Source organism: Homo sapiens, chromosome 1 (assembly GCF_000001405.40).
Source record: "Homo sapiens chromosome 1, GRCh38.p14 Primary Assembly".
NCBI lineage: Eukaryota > Metazoa > Chordata > Mammalia > Primates > Hominidae > Homo > Homo sapiens.
In genome coordinates, this window is record NC_000001.11 from 222,833,510 (window position 1) to 222,859,878 (window position 26,369).

The 26,369-nt window shown below is 36.0% G+C and overlaps 1 protein-coding gene across 59 annotated transcripts in view; it reads left to right on the forward strand.

Moving 5' to 3' along the window:
• DISP1 (dispatched RND transporter family member 1) overlaps positions 1-26,369 on the forward strand; it is a 190,957-nt gene that overhangs the window by 18,471 nt on the left and 146,117 nt on the right. For 20 of the 59 annotated variants that reach the window (NR_165128.1, NR_165117.1, NR_165119.1 and 17 more), the window contains 2 exons: positions 1,610-1,706; positions 3,487-3,875. The exons of 10 other annotated variants lie outside the window; for them this stretch is intronic. The gene's annotated coding sequence lies outside the window, so the exon portion shown is untranslated. Of the gene's footprint in view, positions 1-1,609; positions 1,707-3,287; positions 3,375-3,413; positions 3,876-26,369 lie in introns of those variants that run through there. 29 more of the 59 variants (NR_165115.1, NR_165116.1, NR_165114.1 and 26 more) reach the window with 8 other exon arrangements.

The window sequence follows — 26,369 nt, forward strand, 5'->3', positions numbered from 1 at the left end:
AGACTTGCAGTGGAGAATATAGGAAATGGGGTTTGGCCTGAGGAGAAGGGCGTAGGAAAGGCTTGGTGCTGTGCCTTGTTCTTTAGATTTTACATCCCTTTAATTGCTTTCCTCCTATGACCATTGCTTTGCCATGACTGTCTAAAACTGTGGTATGATGTATGAGTTATGAGGTGTTCATTTCAGATGTTATGCACTGAGCTCTAATTAACTTGACAGAAGCCAGATTGATTTTTATGCAGAGACTTTTAGTATAGTAGATTTGGAGCTAGAAGACCTAGGCTTGAACCTTGGCTGTTTCTCTTATTATTTGTGTCACAAAATGTAGGTTTTCTTAATCTGTTTTCTTATTAGTAAAGAGGGAATAGTCATTACTGTTGTAGGTTGTTGTGAGGTTGTTGCAATAAGGCTTAAATGAGATGCCAAGAAAGCATTTTATAAAATTCTAAAGAGCTATTTAAATGTCCAGTGTCCTTGGTACATGGTGAGTCTTTGGAGGCACATAGTGTGTCTTAAGTATCATTTGGAGCAACTACAACAGTAAGGCACAGATTTTTAAGTTGTAAGCTCTGAGAGTACAGACTTTGTCTATTTTGTACCACTGTATCTGCAGCATCTTATAGAATGGTGTTTATTTATTTCTAAGTTTCAAAACTTTAAAACATTTTTCTTCTGCTTACCCCCTTTCCTTAGAAGTTTGATGATTCTTTCTTCGTCTTCAAAAGAAAAAAAAAAGATATAAACAGAGCATAGCATCCTGTCCTGTAGTTGGATAGATAAGCTAACTCTTTGTGGGCTGGTCCTTAAAAGTAAAGAGGGTGGGTGGTTACAGTGGGATTCTCTTTTAGTTCTATTTCTGCCACAAATAAAGAGAAACAAGATAATAGATGGGAACCTGAAAAGAAAAATGTTTCAGTAGAACTTAGACAGGCAGGAATTTAGGAATAGCAGTGGAATGGAGAAGCCAGAATAGGAGTTTGGGTTGGGTCCAGGGAAAGATGATCTAGACCATAAAGGCGTACACGAGGTCTTACTATTAAGACATTCTGTCACAGACAGGTAGGGCACACTAAGCTTATACATGAAAATTCAGACTGCTTTAAAAAATGGTACCTTGTTTATATTTTTATGTATGTAAATCAGCATTCCTGTGGTGATAGATGATAGATAAGATTATTTTTTCAGATAGTATCCCTATAATTCTTTTTAGTAGGTTAAATATACCCTTCAAATTAGTTTTCCTGAGAGTGAATTATTTGACTCATCCAGGCTCTGTTACACATGAGCTGTGTGATATTGGGCAAGTTACCCAACTTACTTGACTCTGTTTTTTTCCCATGCTTAAAGTAGAATAATACTTACCTTGCAGAGTTGTTGTTAGGATGCAAAATAACGCATGTGAAGTACCTAGTGCAGTATTAAGTATACAGCAGGCATTCAGTTAATGGTGGGTATTATTATTTTTTGATGTAGGCTTAATGTATAATTATTTGTATATCATTTGACAGTAAGTACTATTGATATAGTATGAACATTCCAAATGTTGTTGGTCTTGTGGGTTTCAGCGTTTGTTTTTAGACTAAATATATATTATGTTTTCCTTTCATAGATTTCTGAGAGAGCAGACACCATCTTATTTCTGTTGAATTGTATTTAGTAACTCAAAAGGCATATACCAAGCTGTCAGAAGCAGCTTCATTTAAAAGGTAATTTCAAATTTTGAAAGAGTCATTTACTCTTTAATTTTACTTGGATTTTATTTGTATACTTGACAGATAATTAATGGTTCTCTTACACTAAATTTGATTCATTCAGACTATAGAACATCCCTATTATATCATATTCACTCCGTATTGGAGTTTTTTTCTTTTTTAAAAACATCTTTGGTAATACAGTTGATTTCCCAATCTCAGTGAGCACTACTATGCTATATGACATGAACAATGTAAATAATTTGTTTCCTTGCAAATATTTAAAAATTTTTCCCAAATGATTTTAAATGTATTTTGTTTAAATGCAAAATACCAGGTGCATTTGGAATCATCCCAGTGGGGAGCTTGTTACTGGAGTAGGAAAGAGATAAGCTGGAAAGAAATTGTGTGCTATGGCAAATTTTTATACTACTTTTAGGCAACCTTAACATCTATTTAAAAATTGAGTGGCTGGATGCGGTGGCTCACGCCTGTAATCCCAGCACTTTGGGAGGCCGAGGCAGGTGGATTACCTAGTATCAGGAGTTCAAGACCAGCCTGGCCAACATGGTGAAACTCTGTCTCTACTAAAAATACAAAAATTAGCCAGGTGTGGTGGCACACGCCTGTAATCCCAGCTACTTGGGAGGCTGAGGCAAGAGAATTGCTTGAGCCCAGAAGGCGGAGGAGGTAGCAGTGAGCCGAGATCGTGTCACTGCACTCCAGCCTGGCAGACAGAGTGAGACTCTTGTCTCAAAAAAAAAAAAAAAAAATTGAGCTTAATTCAGCAGACTTCCTAGATCTCTATTTTGTATTTAAGATAGTAGTAGCAAATAGAGCTTTTAGTGGACTATGAATAATTTTGACTTTTGAGATAGGAGGAATAAGTTGTTTTATTTTCTGAGGGCACACTTGGTACTAGAATCTTTAAGTGACCATGAAATGAAGGTAAACATAACTGGGGGGAAAAAACAGCCTTAAATTATTTTACTCTCATGATGTTTGTAAGTAAGCGTGCTAGGTTTTAGAGATACACAGAGAAACTACTGTGACTGTGAAGGTTTCTTCCTGTAGCTTTATGCTAGTCCAAAGATAACATTACTTCATGAATTTTCAGCAAATGTACAGAAGTGGTAATGTGTGACCAAACTTTAATATCTGCTTGGAACTAGTGCTTTCTTATCATTTGGAAGAAAAGAATTATCATTTTAAACCATTTAACATCTGGGAGTGACTATAATTATGACAGACAAACTTTATTTTCACTGGAAGATAGAATAGGATAGTGAAAAGAGCACTGCAATGAAAATCAGGAACCCAGGGTCTGTACTTGCCCTGTTTTTCAGTAACTGGCTGTGGGACCTTAAACAACTCATTTAATCTCTGAGTTTTAGTTGCTTACTATGTAAAATGAGACAGTTAGAATTAAATATCAAGGTCCTTTCCACCTAAGGGAAGGAAATTTTGTAATAAAACAAATAGTATTAAGGAGGACACCCAAGACTGGTTAGAATCATCCAGTTGAGCAAGAAATTAAAAAGAATATATATATATATATATATACACACACACACACACACACCTATTGTTATTTAGCATGATTTAGTGTGGAGACAGTATTGGATCCAGAGACAGAAGAGGAGTTGAATCCTGGCTTAATCATTGCTGGCTATGTGGCCTTAGGTAAATAACTCTGATTTTCAATTTTCTTATCTTTAATAGGGATTATAATACCTACCTATGACAGAGACTGCCAAATATACTCCAGTAGCCATTCTGCTTTTCTTCTTTTCAGAAATAAAATTTCTAGTCCTGCCTGAAGTTTAAGCTAGCCCATGACTACACAAGTGCAACTGTATTTCCCAGGTAGATGCCGGTAGATTGGGCCCAGTAAGTTTGGGCCGTTGGGATGTGAAAGGAAGAGATGCGGGCAACTTTTTGGGTCATCTTCTTAAAGAAAAAGCCATTTGTCCTGGATGCCCTCTTTTCTTTTTTCTCTTTGGCTGGGAAATGACAAGAATTAAAGCAGCAGCCTTGGATCCAGAGATGGACGCCAATTGATGAAGACAGCAGAACTGACTGGCTAGTCTGGGTTCCCTGGAGCAGAGCTGTCTCTCCACCCTAGGTTATCCACTTACTTTTGTACTGTTATGTGAGAGAGAAATAAACTTCTATCTTCTTTAAGCCCTTGTTTTTTTTGGTATTTCTTTGTTATAGCTGATTAGTCTGCCCAGTGGCCTAAACAAAACACTACCTTAAAGAGTTGTGAAGACCAGAGATTATAAATTGCCTAGTTTAGTGGGTGGCCCATTATCAGTATTATCTACCATTTGTTAAATATTCACTTTCCATCTATTGTGGGTGGGGCACAATGCTAAATGTAATGATCATGAAAATAGTTTCTATTATCAGTGGATTTAAGAAAAATAAAAACAAGGATTCTTAACAATTTAACAGAGGTATATAAAATAACTAGCAACAGCCAGTTAGAGAACAAAATTCTATAATGTCATTCGTAATAGTAACCAAAAATATAATTTATCTAGAATGAAAAAATAAGAAATGGGCAAGAAGACCTTTATGAGAAACTGTTTAATTAAGACCAAAAAACCATAAAATTTATGAAGAGCTATTTCTTGTTACTTAATGTTATAAAACGTTGTTTCTCACAAAGGTTAGTTTATAGGTTTAATTAATGTTAAAAACTCAAATATGACATAATGCATATAATGAAAAACATTGGTTCCCTGGTCCACCCTTTCTCATCCCTGCATGGTTATCCCCAGAGGCAACTACTTATTATCCTCTCGATAGTTTTTCCTATTATTTCTCAATAGTAATTATGCTGCCATTTAAATTTTTTTCCCAATTTAATCATATATGTCGACTTACTAATAAGGCAAAGGAAGATTTAGCTTTTTTATACTTAAGTTTTTTCCTTTCCCTCTCAACTTTTCTTTCCCTAATATAATTATCACTATTTTTGGTTAGTGTCTTCATTGTTATAATTATGTATTGTTCATACTTGAGCCACTCAGTGATTATGATTACATTTACTGTTTTTCTATAACTTGTTTTCTTGGAGTTTATGGGAAATTATCTTGTATTATATCCCTGATAATTTTTATTCCCATTTTTTCTTTTTAGAATTTCTTTTGTCTAATATTCAAACTCCTGGATTTTGATTTTCTAATTTTTACTTTTCTAGTGTCTGGGAGATTTTCTAAGCCTTTTCTTCCAATGTTATTATATATTTTTTAATTTACTGCTCTCATTTAAACTTTTCAGCTGGGCATGGTGGCTTATGCTTTTAATCTCAGTACTTTGGGAGCCCCAGGTAGAAGGATCATTTGAGGCCAGAAGTTAAAAGACTAGCCTGGGCAACATAGTGAGACCCCATCTACAAAGAAAAAAAAATTAGCTGGGCATGGTGCATTGGTGCATGTCTGTAGTCTTATCCAGTCAGGAAGCTGAGGTAGGAAGATTGCTTGAGCTCAGAGTTAGAGGTTACAGTGAGCTATGATTGTGCCACTGCACTCCAGCTTGTGCAACAGAGTGAGACTGTGTCTCAAAAATATAAGTAAACTTTTCAAAGCCTTTTCTTCTTTTGTGAGCATTCATTTTTATAGTCTATTATTGTTTTATGGTTATAATTTCATCTCTCTCCAAATATATTAATTTTGGTTTTAAAAAACAATTTGTGGATTGTATTTTTGTTTGTTTTTCTATTTGATTTGGTTTCTTTATTTTGTGATAGGCGCATTCCTTGGTTGTTCCTCAAACATTTAGCTAATACTAAAAATCTTGGGAACTCTGTGTGCATGGGTTTCACTCTAGGGCTGTTAGTTGAAGATCAGATTTATTTTATTGAGACATTGCTGACTCTTAATATCTATAGCAGGGGTCCCCAACTCCCAGGTTGTAGACGGGTAACACTGTGTGGCCTGTTAGGAACTGGGCCGCACAGCAGAAGGTAAGTGGCAGGCCTGAGCTGTGCCTCCTGTCAGATCAGCAGCAGCATTAGATTCTCATAGGAGTGTGAACTCTATTGTGAACTGTGCATACAAGGCATCTAGGTTGCATGCTTCTTATGAGAATCTAATGCCCGATGATCTGAGGTGGAACAGTTTCCTACCGAAACCATCACCCCTGCCCACGTTGTCTGTGGAAAAATTGTTTTCCATGAAATTGGTTCCTGGTGCCAAAAAGATTAGGCACCACTTATCTATAGCCTTTTCTCTTGGGCTGATGTCTCTTTCCAAAGAAGAGTCTTTCTCCTGCCTGGGAGGTACAAGTTGCTACTAGTTTCTGACAGTTAAACAAAGGAAGAGAACTGAGAGGTAGGGAGTGATCTCACTGCTTAGTACAGAGATGCTCTTTAATTTACAGTAGCATTATATCCTGATGAACCCATTGGAAGTTGAGAATATCATAAGTCAAAAATGCATTTAGAGCCAGGCATGGTGGCTCATACCTGTAATCTCAGCACTTTGGGAGGCTGAGGCGGGTGGATCATGAGGTCAAGAGATCAAGACCATCCTGGCCAACATGGTGAAACCCTGTCTCTACTAAAATACAAAAAATTAGCTGGGCATGGTGGCATGCGCCTGTAGTCCCAGGTACTCGGGAGGCTGAGGCAGGGGAATTGCTTGAACCCAGGAGGCGGAGGTTGCAGTGAGCTGAGATTGTGCCACTGCACTCTAGCCTGGGTAACAGAGCAAGACTGTCTCAAAAAAAAAAAAATGCATTTAGTACACCTAGCTTAATGAAGCCTAATCTAGCCTGTCTTAAATGTGCTCAGAACACTTACATTAGCCTACAATTAGGCAAAAATCAACTAACAGCCTGTTTTATAATAAAGAGTTGAATACTTTATGTAATTTATGAAAACTGTACTGAAAATAAAAACCAGAATGGTCATATGGGTACCAAAAGTATGGTTTCTACTGAATGCATATTCTTTTCCCACCATGGTAAAGTCGAACTATTATAAATCAGGGACCACTGTATAAATTTAATCTCCCTGTTTTTGGTACAGTATCTTGGTTTTTTTGTTTTTTAGACCGAGTCTCACTCTGTCACCCAGGCTGGAGTGCAGTGGCATGATCTCGGCTTACTGCAACTTTTGCCTCCCAGGTTCAAGCAATTCTTGTGCCTTAGCCTCCCAAGTAGCTGGGATTATAGGCGCCCATCACCATGCCTGGCTAATTTTTGTATTTTTAGTAGAGATGGAGTTTCAGCATGTTGGCCAGGCTGGTTCTTGAACTCCTGACCCCAAGTGATCCACCCACTGAGCCTCCCAAAGTACTAGGATTACAGGCGTGAGCCACCATGCCTGGCCATTAGTACAGTATCTCTTTTTTTTTTTTTTTTTTTTCCCTGAGACAGTTTTGCTCTTGTTGCCTAGGCTGGAGTGCAGTGGTGCTATCTCGGCTCACCACAACCTCTGCCTCCTGGGTTCAAGTGATTCTCCTGCCTCAGCCTCCCGAGTAGCTGGGACTACAGGTGCCCGCCACCACACCCGGCTAATTTTTTGTATTTTTAGTAGAGATGGGGTTTCACAGTGTTAGCTAGGATGGTCTCAATCTCCTGACCTTGTGATCCGCCCACCTCGGCCTCCCAAAGTGCTGGGATTACAGGTGTGAGCCACTGCGCCCAGCCAGAAGGGTTCTTAAAAAAATAAAAATAATTACAAAACCCCAATTTGTGCATAGTTATACCATTTAGTTAAATACTATATGTACACAACTTACTGTCATCAAATTATTATTATAATAAATGCAAAGGTGAGTAGAGCACCTGATTAATCTTGGACACAGATTTTGTCTTATTTATCATTGTGATTCCATTACATAGCACAGTGCCAGACATATAAAATGCTATTAATAATATGTTTGAAAGAATGAATTAATGACTAAATCAGTGTGTATATGCTAATTAGTGTAGTACATACCTTTTTCATCTGTAAATTTTTCTTTTGTTAGCATATTTTATTTTCTTTCTCTACATATTTGACTCCTTCCTTTTAAAAGCTTATTATACATTATTTTAAGTAGTTTTATTTTTTAGTAGGATCTCATAACACTAAACAAACCTGTATTTGTCAAACATTTATGCATTGTTTACTGTGTGCCTGGTGCTGTTCTTAAACCATTTAATCCTCATTAATAACCCTATAAGGTGGTTACTGCTAATATTCCATTTACAAGAGGAAACTGAGGCACAGAGAAGTTAGGTACTCACTCAAGGTTATCCTGCTAGTAAGTGTCAGAGCTGGACTTCTTGAACTCATGTCTGGGTTCCAAAGTTTATGTGTTTAACCACTACGCTAGACAGACTCCTATTTTTAAAAAGTACCAGCTCTAAAAATTATTTCCATCTCCAGAAGACTGCCCTTACTAGTGGGGCTTTTGTTATTTATAGTAAATTTTATTAAAATAGAAATTTTCAAATGGTAATATTCACTGTACTTGTCTTTTATCATCAAGCTATTTAATGAGTATACTGTTTTATTTTTAAAAGTGATATTTATTATAAGCATATTTGATGTCTGTGTGCTAATAATTATATGGATAAAATATTGATATTGGTAAAATTTGGCATTATTTCAAAATGTGATGGAATATGTATGTGTGACTGTTGGAGTGCTTTACTTTCTGTTGGTATTGGTAAAGTATTCTTTCTGGCTGAAGCATCTCTGAAATATCAGAGGAAAAATGGGAGGTGGGATCCAGAGGGATTGGAATTTTAGACATCTTTCAATTATTTTTGTCATTTGTGATAAGTACCTAATGAATTTTGAACCTAGTAATGCCCTTATGTGCTAACTATTTTGGTACCTGAGGAACTGGAGTGTTTCTGTTCCTTACCTTGTTTAGTGGTCTAGGAAAGAGGTCTGAAGATTCAAACTCTAGTCTAGTTTAAGTTTGTGTTTGATAGTTTACAAATCAAGGTGCTTAAATTCACACTTTATTTACTGCTATATGCAGCTCTTTTTTAAAGCCTTTTGTGATATTTTTTGGTATTTTGATTGTTTAAAGCCCTCAGGTAGCCTAATTAAAAATGGGATGTCCAAATTCACGGAGGCATCTGTTAAATAAAACCTGTCATTTTAAAAAAAAAAAAAAGGAATTGTCTGTTTTATTCTATAGCCACAGCAGAAGGGTTAAATATGGACAGAACACTATTTGTCCTTTTAGGTATTACTGTTTTAGAAGGAGATTATAGCTATACTTTCTTTTTTATGCCTTCCCTCTTTCCCTAGATAATTAGTACTTTTATAAATATAGTGTCTGGCAGAAATTGCTTTATATTAAATATCAAAAACAGCAATCAATAGTGACAGCGATCCATGTATATTAGTATTTTCCAAAGTATGTTCCATGGGAGATGGCTTGCTGGAATATGGTTTTATAATCATAAACTGAGGAACAATTGCATAAATACTGCCCCTCCCAACATACAAACATGCATCTGTTAACACACAGGCTTTGGAGAGTCACAGTATACATTAATTTATTAATGGTACTAAGAAGTCCTGTGGTAATAAAAATGGATTTAATTTTGTTTAGCTCAACATTTCCCACATTGTTTGACCTCAGAACCTTTTCTTTCCTAATCTTATGGTTGTCTGATGCACTTTATGCTCCACAGATGACTCTTTGGGATATAATGCTATATTCTGTGACAGTGTAACAGTAGATCTATTATTTTGATGAGGTTTCAGAATAGTAGCCCATCAAAAATATGCCATTATTAGTTCATTCGTAGTTAATAAATGGATTTTAGGAATGGCATTTAAAAATTATTAGAAATTTGAGGTGGAATGCATCTTCCTTGAATTTATATAACATTGGACCTTGCTTTTATAGACACATTACTTACCGAGGACTTTAATCTCTCACTTGATATATAATGAGAGAATGGTAAACCTCATTAATTTTGACTAATCGGGGAAGCTAGGCAAATCCAAGATAGTATTAAAAAAAACAGAATAGTTTTAAGAAATGCAGTGTTATCACTGCAAATACTGTGTCTAAAATTATGCCAACATAGAAGATTCTGGGTGGAAATCCTTTAAAGAATAAATAACAGTGACTTGTAATTAGTTCAGTTGCAAATATATATGTACTTCTGAAATAAGTGACATTATTTAAAATATTTTTTTCAAAAGTTTTAGCTTTTATTACATGTATCTTATTTACACTGTTTGCTTGCTAAACCATTTCTTTATAGAGTAGTCTGTTTCAAATTTCTAGTATGGTATGGCTCGTAAAAATTTACTGAGTGATCTATATCCTAATTGAGAATATGGAATGAAACATGGAAATAAGGCAGGGGAGAGACCTTCTCTAATGAAGGATGGGGGGGGGAAATTTCTTTTGAGCAGTGATAAAAATAGCAAACAAGAACAAACATTTGACTATTATTGCTGAAAGGAGTGATTAATAATTAACTAAAAGGAAAAGCATCTGCTTCTTGAGTTCTGTAAAAGTCCAGATTGAAGGCCAAGAAGTATTAAATCACAATAGCAATCAAAAGACAAGAAAGAAAAATGAAAACATGGTGGAAGAGAAAGATGAAATTGTAGCAACCAGGATGGTTAGTTATTGGGGAGGCCCCAAACAGATAACATTCCACAGGAGAGTCAGCATTAAAAGACGCAAAAGCCCCAGAAAAAGTAGATAAATCATGTCACTCTTGTTTTTACGCTGAAGATATAGATATATTATACCCCTGTTGAAGTGTGGTGCTGGGGCTAGGAAAGGCACCCATGGAATTACGATAGTCCTTAAAGTACTACCTTTTTACATGCTAAGTGTTTATCTCTAGAATGTATCCAGAGTATTCTCCAGTCTTTGTATTTTTAAAACAGCATTTACACATTTGTTTCCTAAAATCTCATCATATCAGTTGTTTTTATCAGGCTTTAATAGACCTGATGTGTTGAGGTTCCCTCAATTCCCTTTTTGCTTCCTTTGTTTCTTTTTATTCCTTTGTGATGTAAGACAGCATAGTAGCATCACCTCATTTTATAGGAATGGGGAAATCAGGTTGAAGATTAAGTGGCTTGTGTACGGAGTGAAAGGAAGGAGGCTTTCAAGTGTAGCTTAGAAAACAGGAGTTTAGTATTTTTATAGGGAAAGAATATGATGGCTAATTTAGCAGGTTTTCTGAATTAAACTTATGCTTGATTGTACGCTTAAGTATTAAATCTTTCAAGTATTATCTATATCAGTACTGACTAATCTGCCTTCAGTTATATAATGGATAGCCGATCCAGCCTTTCCTTTTAAGAAAATCCTTGATGTATTAGACCGTTAAAACAAATTCTAACATTTGGTGTTCATTAGTGTTGTAACTGAAACAAAAACATTTTAATGGTTAATCCCAGAGTATTTTGAAGTTAGTGTAAATTTGCAGGAAAGGTATTTAAGCTTTAGTATCAATTGCAAATAGGCCATGAGCCAATTTTCAAAGCTGTTTCTTAGTGAGACATTGAGTTTTTCTCAATACAAAAAATGCGTTATGCAGCATTGTGCCATGTGACAAGGAAACAGAATGGAACAATTACAATGAGATTTGTATTGATAATTGTATTTCTGTGTGAGTCGTTTAAGATACTGGGAAGCAAAGTGAGATTTAGAATAACCCCCCAGCAACTTCAACAATTGCTTACATTTAGTTGTAGACCACGAAAGAGGTATTTTTAATATAAAAGGATGGGTATTGCTGGGCAACAATTAAAACTTCAAACTCAACATTTAGGGTTTAGCCAACTGACTTTACTAAAATGGAATGCTTTAACTTTTTGACTCTATATTTCAGGAAAATTGCTCATTGTAGTTTATTAAGGTAAAATGACTTTTTGTGATGTAGTGCTAAAAAGGTCAAATCTCCACTTAAAATATTAGGTTGGTGCAAACGCAGTTGCAGTTTTTGCCATTGCTAGCTTTTGGTAGTGCTAAAGAGTTTTGCAAAAATGATTTTTCTTTTAAAGAATATTTAAATTAATTTACTTTGCTTTTGGTAAATGCCAAAGAAAGGCACAGTGAAGTATTGTAAGTGCATTCAAAATCGATTCTTCATCCGTTCATTTGTCATCCTAAAGTGAAAAAAAGAAGTGGAAGACAATTATTAGATGGATAGTAAATATAATCTAATGATTTATATGTTGTTCTGACATTTAACCATAGATACTGTTGCTTAAAAGGACTCTTGAAAGAAAATCTCAGCATATTTTTTATTCAAAGTTGTTTTGACTTAGGTACTTTTTCCATGTAAGAGACAAAAATCCCACAAATATTAAATCTATTTCAACAAGTGTTTTTGAAACATTATGTAGATTTGCAATGCAGTTTCATTAGCACAATAAATATTTCTTAATGCTGTGCTTTTTGAGTTTCTGGATTTTTGAACAATATGTTTAGGTCATTTTGAATTATTATTTACTTAATATTATTTATTATGACTGTGAACTGATTTGTTTATGTGTATGTATTTGTGTGTTTTGGCTCTATCTGTATCTCAACAAGACCATTTAATGTCAGCTCTATCACAAGATAATTTACTTTTTTCCCCTCTATGATATATAACTTTTGGGATAGAAATTTGTTTTGGGGTGTAATTTTTGGAAATGTACTAGCCACTTGACATGCTTTAATATTCAAAATAATTCACAGTGAATCTGGATTTTTAGTGACTAGTCAATGTCCTTGGTAGACATTTTTGTTTTGATTGATGAAGTTCATTTTACCAGTTATTTTTACAAGGCTTCTGCTTTTTGTATGCTGTCTAAAACAATCTTTGCCTAACCTAAGGTCTTGAAGATTTATTTCTAGATTTTCTTCTAGAAATTTTATAGTTTTTGGCTTTTTCATTTAGGTCTATAATGCATTTTGAGTTAATTTTTATGTATGTTGACTATGGATTTTTTTCTGTTTTGAAAATGTTTGCACAGAGAGACAACTTTAGTGACAGTGTGGAGGTTGCAATGAAAAGAGTGAAAAGGCCAGATGTGGTGGATCATGCCTGTAATCCCAGCACTTTGGGAGGCCAAGGCGGGCGGATCACCTGAGGTCAGGAGTTCGAGACCAGCCTGGCCAACACGGCAAAACCCCGTCTCTACTAAAAATACAAAATTAGCTGGGTGTGGTGGCGCATGCCTGTAATCCCAGGTACTCGGGAGGCTGAGGCAGGAGAATCGCTTGAACCCGGGAGGCAGAGGTTGTGGTGAGCTGAGATTGTGCCATTGCACTCCAGCCTGGGCAACAAGAGTGAAACTCTGTCTCAAAAAAAAAAAGAGTGAAAGGACAGGGAATATGAGTTGATAATGACTAGAACTAGGATAGCAGTTCTGCATATCAAAAAAGCAGGGAAGAGGAGAAATCTGATGACATTTTAGAGACAATGAATTGGATGGGGAGTGAGCATGGAGGCAGAAGTAAAGATGCATCTAAGGCTTGTGGTTGCAGGAAGTAGAATGGCCTGTGGCCAAAACTAGAATATAGGACAAAGGGAAGTTTTATGATTCTCCATTGTGATGAATGGAGAAGAGTTCTGTTTTCAAACTGTTGAGTTTATGTGATAGCAGGACATTCTGTCCTTGTCCACATGTATACATGTTGAGGAATAGTCAGATTCTTAGTGAAAACATTTTTTGTTTAATTCACTGCGACTAATTTTTTATGTTATTGCATAGTTTCCGTTGTGATAATTTTTGTAGCTTCTCAACAGTATTTAAATTTTGTTGTGAAACTATTATATCTATTATATAAAATGATTAAAAAAATAATGCCACTAAATAGATTTCTACTGTATTTCCCTCCTCTGTTTCCAATACAACTTGACCATTAATAAGGATATTCTGTCGGTGTTTGTCTAGATATGCAGACATCTCATATCATTCTTTCCACAGAGGTAAAACTGTATTATCCTTATTTATTTTGATGCTCATATTATCCCAGGCATGGCCAGTGGAAATGACATACGTTAAGCTAACTATTGTGTCCTTTTGACATGTCCTCATAGTTATTTGAGAACTTTCTTAAATTCTGTCATAATAAGATATTCTAGGCTCATCTTATACTTTCCCTGTTCTAGTCCTGTACTCAGCCATTTCATTCAAGGGTCCTGGTTATTTTTAGTGGAGAATGGTATTTAGAAACAAAGATCTGAACACTGGGTGTGCTCATTGCTATGAACACATCATTTCTTTTAGGTTTTGTCAGTGGAGAGAGCTTATAAGTTGTATTTACACATATAAAAATGTGTATGTGCATATACACACAGGAATATAGATAGTACACATATATCCATATTTATTTTCTATATCAAACCATCTTTATAAATAACTATAAGTTTACACCTATACCTCCAATTCCAATCCAATCCAATAGATTATTTTTTTTTCTGGCCTTTTCCCTTTCCTTGTTTGCAATTCCCTCCTCTTGCAGTGGAAACCTGGATTCTATTAAGTCAATATATTTTGCTCCAAGACACACCAACCCCCACCCCCAATAGCCATGTGCAACCCAGGGGGAAGGGAGAAGGATAAAAGGGAAGGGAGAAGGAAGAAAGTTCCTCCCAGTGAATTTTTTTTTGAATTAGCCCAATGGTTAAAAATAATAGAAGAAAGGAAGGAGCCATGTAGAATTTTAAACTTGTGACTAGTCAGTTTTGTCCATCTTTCTCTTTTTTAATGGCTTTTGGCTTTTATGTCACAAATAAAGGTTATGAAAATAAACTTCATAGTACTTTTTATGCCTTTTTTTTTCTTGGTTTCTGTGAACCTATTGGTTTTTTTACATTTTAATTTTCAGTACACCTGAGATTTTTTGGGGGGAATATTTTAGGATCTAATTATATTTTATTTTTCTGAATGGATAACTAGTTATTTCAACATTCATATTGATTGATTTATCTTTTCTCCATTGATTTGAAATGCCATCTCCATTGTATCCTGTTCTACATTGTTCTTTTACTATATTCTTCTGTTCTTTTTATCTGTTTGTTTTTTAAATTGCATGCCCGATAGTGGGACACTGTAGTATTTATCGCCTAGAGTGATTGTGAGCATTAAATGAGAATGCACATAAAATGGTCAGTGTGGTGCCAGTCGTGTAGTATAAAATGGTCAACACGTATTAGCGACTATTAGCATCTCAATATAAAAGGAATAAACTTTACAAACAATAGGAGAGTAAATTACAAAAAAAGTAAAAATTATAGTAAGTAGTGGCTTTTTAAAAAAAATAAAAACTTGTAGGATTCTTAATTTTTATACTTTGTGTATGGAATGGCAAAAGTTCATATTCTTTATATACAGATAAATTATGTGTAAAAATGTGTCCAATATTAGATAAAGTTAAGCTATTTAGACTTACAGATGTCCTGGATTGCAGGCTCTTTGAGGGCAGAGACTGTGTCTTATTTCATTTAACAAATACCTGTGCAGCACCTCACTGTGCCAGGGTTTGAGCATAGAATAGGATATAATATCTACCGTGAGCAGCTCACAGGCTAGTTGGGGAAACAGACATATAAATAAATAAATATAAATAACATGCAGGGGCTAATATATGTATAGCAGTGTACTTAGTTGTCTTCCATTAATGTGGAAATATTTATATCAGAGCTCTACACATTCACTGAGGCATTTTTCTAAATATGGGGATGGGATGAGAATACTTAAATAGTATTTCTATGCTGACTTCCCATGAACTATGTCCCAAAGTGCTTGATTGTACCTCACCATATCTTTATATAATACCACAAAGAAGGCAAAAAGTCACATTTTTGGAGTGTGTCTTTTGTATTTTCTGCTTTTAATATGTATTCCATGTGTAGTCCTCAAGAGTGAATGTGTGTATACTACATATTAATAAAATGATGGTAATTTCAGCACTAATGTTCTAGTATTATTTTCTCTGAATGCTTCTTTCAGTTATTTGACTACCATCAGGTAGTTAATTTGTATTTATATAAGATCAAATTAATGCATTTTTAATCCAAGCATCTGTTCTCTATTTGTTCCACACCTGTGACAAGATTATTTCAACCACTCACTTATAAAAGAGAAACACATCGTCAAGGGGCAACCCTGCTTTCAAGCATACATTCTATTTTTTGCGCAAATAACCATGTGAAAAATACCAATTACTGAAACTCTGAGAAGAACGAAGTTACTTCTAAACCTAGTATTTATACAAAAAAGGCTGTCTAAATGAAAACCACATTGAGATGCAATAGACCAAATCTGTATAACATAAACCTTTCAAGATCACTGTACCTAAAAAAAAAATGTATCCATGATTTGGGAAGGCAGCTTTAACAAAACAGTATTGTAAAAAATAACTAAAATGAAACAGCTGGCCACCAATCTGACAAACATGTACCTTAGCAGGAGGCTGTGAAATTTGAAGCACCTTAGTGAGTATTAGCACATACTAGTAGACTGTTACAGGCCATACTTCTGTGTACACTTTTGAAAATATTCTAATGTACATGAAGTATTTTGACAAGTGAAATTGTGAAATTTCTAAAAATTAAAAACCCAAATAAAGGTACCATTTTGGTTGAAATGAAAATCATACCAGTTTTAGATCTCAGTGAGCATGTAATTTAGATTCTGGTACAATATCTATTAAGAAATAAAATTTATTCTAGTGTCACCTTCCTTATTAGCAAATTGTCTTCAGAAGGAACACAAACAGGAGAGGTCTAGAGATGCCTTTTAGAGTGTTAGAAAGACAGGTTGTATGTGGACATGGCTAATAAAGATTGAGAGGCTGGCTTTGTTTAAATCCTAACTTTGTCACTTTCTAGGCTATTGAACAGTATTCTAAACATTTCTCTGCCTCAGTTTCTTGAGCTGTAAAATGTATAAGATAAGCCCCATAGGGTTTCTGTGAAATTTAAGTGAGTGACATAAAAAAAATGCTTAGCATGTTACTAGCACATGAGAAACCCTTAATAAATGCTGGCAGTAAAGTTCAACATAAGTAGACATTTTTTCCTTGTGCATTTTCCCTCCATTTTTCTCTCTTTTGCTAACCCTCTTGATTATGATTATTATTGTTTTTGCCTTTCTCTTTAGTTTTGTAACCATTCCATTTTTTTTGTTTAGCTCCCTTGTTCTCTCTTTTTAAACCCTCTGCTTTCTCCACTTTACCCCATGTTTTTATTATTCTTTTAAAATTTTCCATCCTCCAACTGCTACACTTTTTTTTTCCCACTGTATTTTAATTTTTTTAAATTTTAGTTTTGAGAGTACATGTGGTTTGTTACATAGGTAAACATGTATCATGGGGTTTTTTTGTACATATTATTTCATCACCCAGTTATTAAGCCTGGTACCCAATAGTGATCTTTTCTGCCCACTCCCTCCTCCCACTCTCCCCCATCAAGTAGACCCCAATGTCTGTTGTTTCCTTCTTTGTGTTCATAAGTTCTTATCATTTAGCTCCCTCTTATAAGTGAGAACATGCAATGTTTGTTTTTTTGTTCCTGCATTAGTTTGCTAAGGATAATGGCCTCCAGTTCCCTCCATGTTCCCTCAAAAGACATGATCTCATTCTTTTTTATGGCTGCATAATAAATGTAGTACATTTACTGTGTACCACATTTTCTTTATCCAGTCTGTCATTGATGGACATTTAGGTTGATTTCATGTTTCTGCTATTGTGAATAGTGCCAACTCCTGTTCTTTTATCTGACAGGCCCATTGGTTACTCTTTCCTTCATAGGCCTGTATCTCTGTATTTCTGCCACAGGGGCTGTTAACCTGAGATCTCTGAATGTCCTTCAGAGGACCTACTAACTTCTGAAATTATATAAAATTTTATGAATATGCATTTTTAATTTTTTTTTTTTTTTTTTTTTGAGACAGAGTTTCCACTCTTGTTGCCCAGGCTGAAGTGCAATGGCACAATCTCAGCTCACTGCAACCTCCGCCTCCTGGGTTCCAGTGATTCTCCTGCCTCAGTCTCCCAAGTAGCTGGGATCACAGGCATACGGCACCACACCCAGCTAATTTTGTATTTTTAGTAGAGTCGGAGTTTTGCCATGTTGGCCAGGCTGGTCTTGAACTCCTGAACTCAAGTGATCCGCCCGCCTCCGCCTCCCAAAGTGCTGGGATTACAGACATGACCCACTGCACCCAGCCGAATACACATTTTTTAAACGAGAGGTTCCATAGTTCTTTATAGGGTTTCAGAGGACTTCACTAATTTTATGAGTTTAAGAACCATTGCTTGATAGGATGTAGCGACCCTTCCCTCCCAGCTGATTTGTTGAGCCTCTCTGCCATTTGCCTCATTAGTATTAGGGAAACTTTCTATACAATAAAAAGTGTTACTCAGCACATATAGTGGATTTGCATCATAGTATTAGAAAGGAACTTCATCCCCAGGTGATTCATTAATTGTGGCATCACTGTGTTATGTTGTAATATTTATAAATAACAACTTTGTTTTTAAAACTTTTTTTGCATTGTGCATTCCCTAAAAGTTCTTTTTCCCAGTTTCAAATATTCATAACAAATGGCCAGCTCAATTTAAAACAAGGTAAATATTTCTTTTTTTTTTTTTTCCATTTCTGTGTGAAATATCCAAGCCAGCTTGGAACCAAAGCATTCAGCATTTTACAAGCTAATTGTCCAGTAGAAAAATAATGTTTTAAAATTAGTTATAAATTTGCTAGAGGCCAGGCACAGTGGCTCACATCTGTAATCCCAGTACTTTGGGAGGCTGAGGCGGGCGAATCACCTGAGGTTGAGAGGTCGAGACCAGCCTGACCAACATGGAGAAACCCCATCTCTACTAAAAATACAAAATTAGCTGGGTGTGGTGGCGCATGCCTGTAATCCCAGCTACTCGGGAAGCTGAGGCAGGAGAATGGCTTGAACTTGGGAGGGAGAGGTGGTGGTGAGCCGAGATCGCGCCATCGCACTCCAGCCTGGGAAGGAAAACTCCAACTCAAAAATAAATAAATAAATAAATAAATTTACTGAAAAAAAATTCCAAATTGACAGCATTTGGGGTTTTTTTTTTTAAAGCCTTCCATAACAAAACAGTCATGTAGACTTTTAGTATTTTTTTTTTCTAGTTGGCCAAATAGCCAAAGTTGTTTTTTGTTTGTTTGTTTGTTTTTTGGTGGTTTTTTTGTTTTTCGTTTTTTGTTTTTGTGGTAGAGACTGATTTTCACCATGTTGCCCAGGCTGGTCTTGAACTGCTGGACTCAAGTGATCCACTCACCTTGGCCTCCCAATGTGCTGGGATTACAGGCATGAGCCACCGTGCCCGGCACCAAAGTTGTTTTCTTAACTAAAATCATCATTCACATGAATCATCATGACAGCCTGAAAAATGTAGAACTCCTCTAAGAAAAGGAGATAACCCAGTAAGTCATTCTTTACACATCTTGTTCATGTTTAGATGTCTAAAGAAGGAAACTATTCCTTTGAAAATAGCACTGCTTTAATCTTTGCACTGATAATTCTGACCTCAAAAATAAAATACCAATTTTTAAGACCTTGGCTCTCCTGGGGAATAATCAAACCAAATGAACAAACACAAACCTTGTGTATCCCCCTTCCTTTTTTTAACCACTGATGATGAACTTTGGGTTAGCATGTAGAACATAGATAATACAATGCTAAATACATATTTAACAAAAGTGAACTGAGTGCCTGGCATATGGGGGGCTCTGGGTGTACAATAGTGAGTAGTGGGTATTTGAGAAAAACAAATATATCTGTGTATATATACCAAATGTATTCATATACAAATAGTAGTAAGTGCAATGAAGAATGGGGTCTGAGGAGAGAGTAAATGTTGCTTTAGAATGCCATTAATTATTTCATAGAAAAATTAGTTATTTCATAGAAAAAAGAGAGTCTTTCATTTAGTCTCTGTTAATTTGTTTTCTGTGTTTTAATAATGAAGTTGGTGGCAGGCCATGATTTTTGGCTGTTCAGAAAAGAACTACCAGGCTCACGTTGGAGGTGTCATCCCACCGTTAGGATGGCTGTTATGAAAAGGATAAAAAATAACAAATGCTGGTGGAGATGTGGATAAAAGGGAACTTATATGTTAGTGGGAATGTAAATTAGTACAGCTACTATGGAGAACAGTATGGAGCTTCCTCAAAGAACTATAAATAGTACTACCATCTGATCCAGTGATTGTACTACTGGGGATTTATCCAAAGGAAAGGAAATATCAATGAGACATTTGTACCCCCATATTTATTGCAGCATTATTCACAATAGCCAAAATATGGAATCAACCCAGGTGTCCAACAACAGCTGAATGGATAAAGAAAATGTATATATACACCACGGAACACTATTTGGCCGTAAAAAAACCATGAAATCCTGTCATTCACAGCAACATGGATGGAGCTGGAGGACATTATGTTAAGTGAAATAAGCCAGGAACAGTAAATTAAACACTGCATGTTCTCACTCATTTGTGGAAGCTAAAAAAGTTGATTTCACAGAAGTAAAAAGTAGAACAGAGAATACCAGAGGGTGGGAAGGGTAGGGGAAAGGGAGGGATAGGGAGAGGTTTGTTAAGGGATACAAAATTACAGCTAGATAGGGGAATAAGGTCTAGTGTTCTATATCACTGCAAATGATTATAGTTAACAAGAATATATTGTATAGTTTCAAATAGCTAGAAGAAGGATGTTGAGCATTCCCAACACAAAGAAATGATAAATGTTAGAGATGATGAATATGCTAACTACCCTCATCTGATCATTATATGTATCAAAACATTACCATGTACCCCATGAATATCTACAATTATTTTTTGTCAATTAACAAGCTCTCATCAAGATTTTTGTGCCTTGAAACATATAAAATTTGCTCTGGAAAGAAAACACCATGGCAAGATGTTGGCCACAGACTATAAATATAGGGGAAAGAAAACTGCAAGAGCTTTATTTTTTATAACTCTGTTTCCTTGATTCACAGATCTCTTAACAAGACTGAATCATAGAAGCTAGGCGTCTTAGTCCGTTCTCATGCTGCTGTCAAGAACTGCCCAAGACTGGGTAATTTATAGAGAAAAGAGGTTTAATTGACCTCACAGTTCTGCATGGCTGGGGAAGCCTCAGGAAACTTACAATCATGGCGGAAGGCATCTCTTCAAAGGGTGGCAGGAGGGAATGAGTGCAAGCAGGGGAAATGCCACATGCTTATAAAACCATCAGATCTTGTGAGACTCACTCTTTATCACGAGAACATCATGGGGGAAACTGCCCCCATGATCCAATTACTTCCACCTGGTCCCACCCTTGAAACATGGAGATTATTACAATTCAAGGTGAGATTTGGGTGGGGACACATAGCCAAACCATATCATTAGGATGCTTGAGTCACTGTTTTGGAGATAGTTCTGAATTCTGGGCACTAAGGAATACCGTTTGGACACTGATCCTTTTATGTTAAAGATGGTGAACTGGTGAGTTGCAGTGTTCTCCTTTCAGTTTGTTAATTGGGAATCCTATAGTTGAGCCTAAATTTTCAGTGTTTTGCTTTTTTTTTTTTAATCATAAATGGCAAATATTACGCCTACCCAGAATACGGTGCTTTGAAACCCAAATGTTAAGGAGATAAATGGGTATACCTAACTGCTTGGGATGAACAAGATTTTGGGGAATAGGAGGATGGCTTCTTTAGAGACCTAACAGTTATTTGTGTGGCCTGGAAAAGTGGGATAGCTCATTCTGAATCATTTTCAAACTTGTCCAGAGAGCTCTGGGGCTCCTCAGAGGAACCTCAGTACTACTAGTGGGAATAGGGTTGCCAAGAAGGGCAGGGGTCTTATCCCCACATCCTTTAACTAAGGAACTTCTACTAGACACAAAGGAAAACAAAGAACTTTGAATATAATAAATTAGCTTTTGCTTCTTTGTCATAGAATCTTCCTGAGTTACTGTTTGTGTACCAACTCTTGAGGGTTCCATCATGTATGATGAGGAGCCACATCAAGACCTTTCACCTGTGCTCTCTTATTCTTTTCTTCTGCCATTCCCTCTGCCCCTCTCACACAAACCTTTTTGTAGAAAGGAAAGCAGGGACAAATAACACTTGAGTTCCAGGCGTTGGGAACTAGTTAAGATCTGTTAGAAAAGAAAGATTTAAACAATTTTTGAAAGCCCTGAAAATTATCTTCCTAAATCTTTTACCTAAATGGAAATTTGTATTATCTTCATTAGGAAGAATATATATGGAAGTAATCAACAAACTGAACTAGTTAGAAAGCAGTGTATTTTAGCCAATAATGAGCCTTAACCTTTGCAGGGTTAGCACATGGAAATCGTTATTATATACTAGCAGATACAGCTATGCCACCATACTTCTTAAGTCAAGGACCAATTCTTCATTATACCAGCGTGTTCTGATTTTCACAGTTAATCTTATTTGGTTGCTAAATGCCTTACGTACCTAATGAAATGAAATTTGGGAATTGACTAGCTTAATTTTGCAGTGTGAAGTGGTTCCCTTCTCTTTATTTTAAAACATTTTTTCTCCCAAAATTTTGAAGATATTTTGACTAATTCAAATTTCATATAATTTTAAGAGTACTATAATTTATAAGCTATAGAGGTGTGTGATTTGAATGCTTCCTATCTAATGCGACTGGAATTTTTCTCCAATTATAAGAGAGACAAGACCATCATTCTCCAGTTTCAAAAAAAAAAAAAAATGCAGCTGCTTGCAAGAGGAGAGCTAAACTAACAGAACATTTAATATTTTGAAAAATATGTCCTGGGGGAAAAGATTCTTCTGTTTAAAAAGATATTAAATTATTTGGCTTGGCAGCTCCAGGGTGTGAATATTTTGAGCTCCATCACTATCATTTATTTTTTATCGAGTTCAAATGGAAAAATTGAGAACTTTATTTTGACATGTAGTCCTTTATTAGATATATAAACCTTTAGCTGCAAGGGACTACATGTTACTGTGAATTACATAGGCACATTCTACTTTTAGTGGATCAGTGTTTAATTTTCAAAATTCTCAGCAAATAGCACAGCTGCAGCCAAAAATTCCTGTAGCCCAGATGAAACTAATAGTTCCAGGCTGTGTTGCTGTCATTCATTACTAATCCAGGTATGAGTGCTTACTGTTTTTAATTTTCCTTTTCCGAACTTGAAGGCAGTGTTTGTCTTTTCCCACAAGAAGTCAGTGATAATGTGCCTGAGATTCCAGCAACTGGAGATAGTTGGCCTTTTCCACACTGACACAACTAGACTTTCTTTTAGGGCTAGTATAGATAGCAGTTTGATGATAAACAAAAAACAGTGGGAGACAGGCACATAGTAGGGTATTAAGGAAAAACAAGAATGTATTAGGGATTTGAACCTAATTTTTGGAAGTTGGTGTCATGGAAAGCATCTGCTGCCTACCATACGATATCCATTGATGGCATGTGCCATTTGGGCAAGAATATTGAGTTAACTGGACAATATGTTTTTATGTTTATTATAATTCGTTTTTTTTTTTTTTTTGAGATGGAGTCTCACTCTGTCACTCAGGCTGGAGTGCAGTGGCTCAATCTTGGCTCACTGCAACCTCTGCCTTCTGTTTCAAGCAGTCCTCCTGCCTCAGCCTCCCGAGTAGCAGGGATTACAGGTGCATGCCACCATGCCTGGCTACTTTTTGTATTTTAAGTAGAGATGGGGTTTCACCATGTTGGCCAGGCTAGTCCTGAACTCCTGACCTCATGTGATCTGCCTGCCTCGGCCTCCCAAAGAGCTGGGATTACAGGTGTGAGCCACTGTGCCCATCCTCTTATAATTATTATTAGTAATAGAACTTTCAGAAACATTCAAAATATTATCACCAATTATTCTCTTCAAATCCGACCAGAATGGATTCATTTTGCATTTTAAAATGTCTTAATTGACACTTAAAAACTGTGAATTTCAGCTAGTCAGGAGGCTGAGGTGGGAGGATCCCTTAAGCCTAGAGTTTGAGGCTGTAGTATACCATGATTACATCTGTAAATAGCTACTGCATTGCAGCCTGGGCAACATAGTGAGACTACATATCTAAAAAAAAGAAAAAGAAAAAAACTGTGATATAGAATGAAGAATAAAGATTGTAGACTTTGGAATTGGACAAAAGTTGGAAGCATTCCCCTTGAAATCTGGCACAAGACAAGGATGCTATCTCTCACCACTCCTATTCAACATAGTATTGGAAGTTCTGGCCAGGACAATCAAGCAAGAGAAAGAAAGAAAGCATAGTCAAATAGGAAGAGAGGAAATCCAACTATCTCTGTTTGCAGATGACATGATCCTATATCTAGAAAACCCCATTGTCTCAGCCCAAAAGCTTCTTAAGCTGATAAGCAACTTCAGCAAAGTCTTAAGATACAAAAATCAGTGTGCAAAAATCACAAGCATTTCTACACACCAACAACAGACAAGCAGAGAGCCAAATCATGAATGAACTCCCATTCACAATTGCTACAAAGAGAATAAAATACCTAGGAATACAGCTAACAAGGGAAGTAAAGGACCTCTTCAAGGAGAACTACAAACCACTGCTCAAGGAAATCAGAGGACACAAACAAATGGAAGAACATTCCATGCATATGGATAGGAAGAATCAATATCGTGAAAATGGCCATACTGCCTAAAGTAATTTATAGATTCAATGCTATTCCCATTAAACAACCATTGATATTCTTCACAGAATTAGAAGAAACTATTTAAAAATTTGTATGGAACCAAAAAAGAGGTCATGTAGCCAAGACAGACCTAAGCAAAAAGGACAAAGCTGGAAGCATCTGTTACCAGACTTCAGACTTCAAACTATACTATAAGGCTATAGTAACCAAAACAGCATGGCACCAGTACAAAAACAGACACATAGACCAGTGGAACAGAATACAGAACTCAGAAATAAGACTACACATCTACAACCATCTGATCTTCCACAGACCTGATAAAAACAAGCAATGGGGAAAGGATTCCCTATTTAATAAATGGTGCTGGAATTACTATTATCTATAGTATCTATACTAGCCCTAAAAGAAAGTCTAGTTGTGTTTCATATGCAGAAAATTGAAAGTGGACCCCTTCCTTATACCTTATACAAAAAATTAACTCAAGATGTATCAAAGACTTAAATATAAAACCAAAAGCCATAACAACCATAGAAGAAAATCTAGGCAATACCATTCAGGACATAGGCACAGGCAAAGATCCCATGATGAAATCACCAAAAGTAATTGCAACAAAAGCAAAAATTGACAAATGGGATCTAGTTAAACTAAAGAGCTTTTGCACAGCAAAAGAAAGTATCATCAGAGTGAACAGGCAACCTGTAGAATGGGAAAAAATTTTTGCACTCTATCCATCTGATAAAGGTCTAATATCCAGAATCTACCAGGAACTTAAACAAATTTACAGGAAAAAAAGAAACAGCCCCATTAAAAAGTGGGCAAAGGACATGAACAGACACTTCTCAAAAGGAGACATTCATGCAGCCAACAAACTTTTTAAAAAAAAGCTTAATATCACTGATCATTAGAGGAATGCAAATCAAAACCACAATGAGATACCATCTAACACAATTCAGAGTGGTGATTATTAAAACGTCTAGAAACAACAGATGCTGGCGAGGTTGCAGAGACATAGGAAAAGTTTTACACTGTTGGTGGGAATGTAAATTAATTCAACCATTGTGGAAAACAGTGTGATGATTCCTCAGAGATCTAGAACCAAAATATCATTTGACCCAGCAATCCCATTACTGGGTATATACCCAAAGGAATATAAATCATTCTATTACAAAGTTACATGCACACATATGTTCATTGCAGCACTATTCACAATAGCAAAGACATGGAATCAACCCAAAAGTCCATCAATGATAGACTGGATAAAGAAAATGTGATACATATACACCATGGAATACTATGCAGCCATAAAAAGGAATGAGATCATGTCTTTTGCAGAGACATGGATGGAGCTGGAAGCCATTACCCTCAGCAAACTAACACAGGAATAGAAAACCAAACACCGCATGTTCTCACTTATGAGTGGGAGCTGAACAATGAGAACACACAGACAAAGGGAGGGGAACAGCACACATTGGGGCCTGTCGGGAGGTGGAGTCGGGGGAGGGAGAGCATTAGGAAAAATAGCTAATGCATGCTGGGCTTAACACCTAGGTGATGGGTTGATAGGTGCAACAAACCACCATGGCACATGTTTACCTATGTAACAAACCTGCGCATCCTGTGCATGTACCCCAGAACTTAAAATTTAAAAAAGTGGTAATTAAAATTCTCAGAGATAAGAGAAGATATTATATCCACAAAAGAATAACAGGATACTTTAGATGGGATCATTCAAAGAATAAATAAAGGCTCTTGGATATTTCAAAAATTGTTAATTCAGTAGAAGTGTTGGGAGATAAATTTGAGACTATCTTCCCAAAAGCAGATTTAAAAAGACTAAGAGATAGAAAATAAAGTGGAGATGTAAAATAAAAGAAAATACAATTAGAGGAAAACTATGCTCTCCAATGTTTGACTAGTAGAGGGAGTTCCAGATAGAGTTTGGGATGAATTAGTTCTCCTAGTTGACTCTGTAACCTAGACTGTAAATTCTGGAATGTTGGGGAATATGTTGTTGGTCTTGTTCACTATT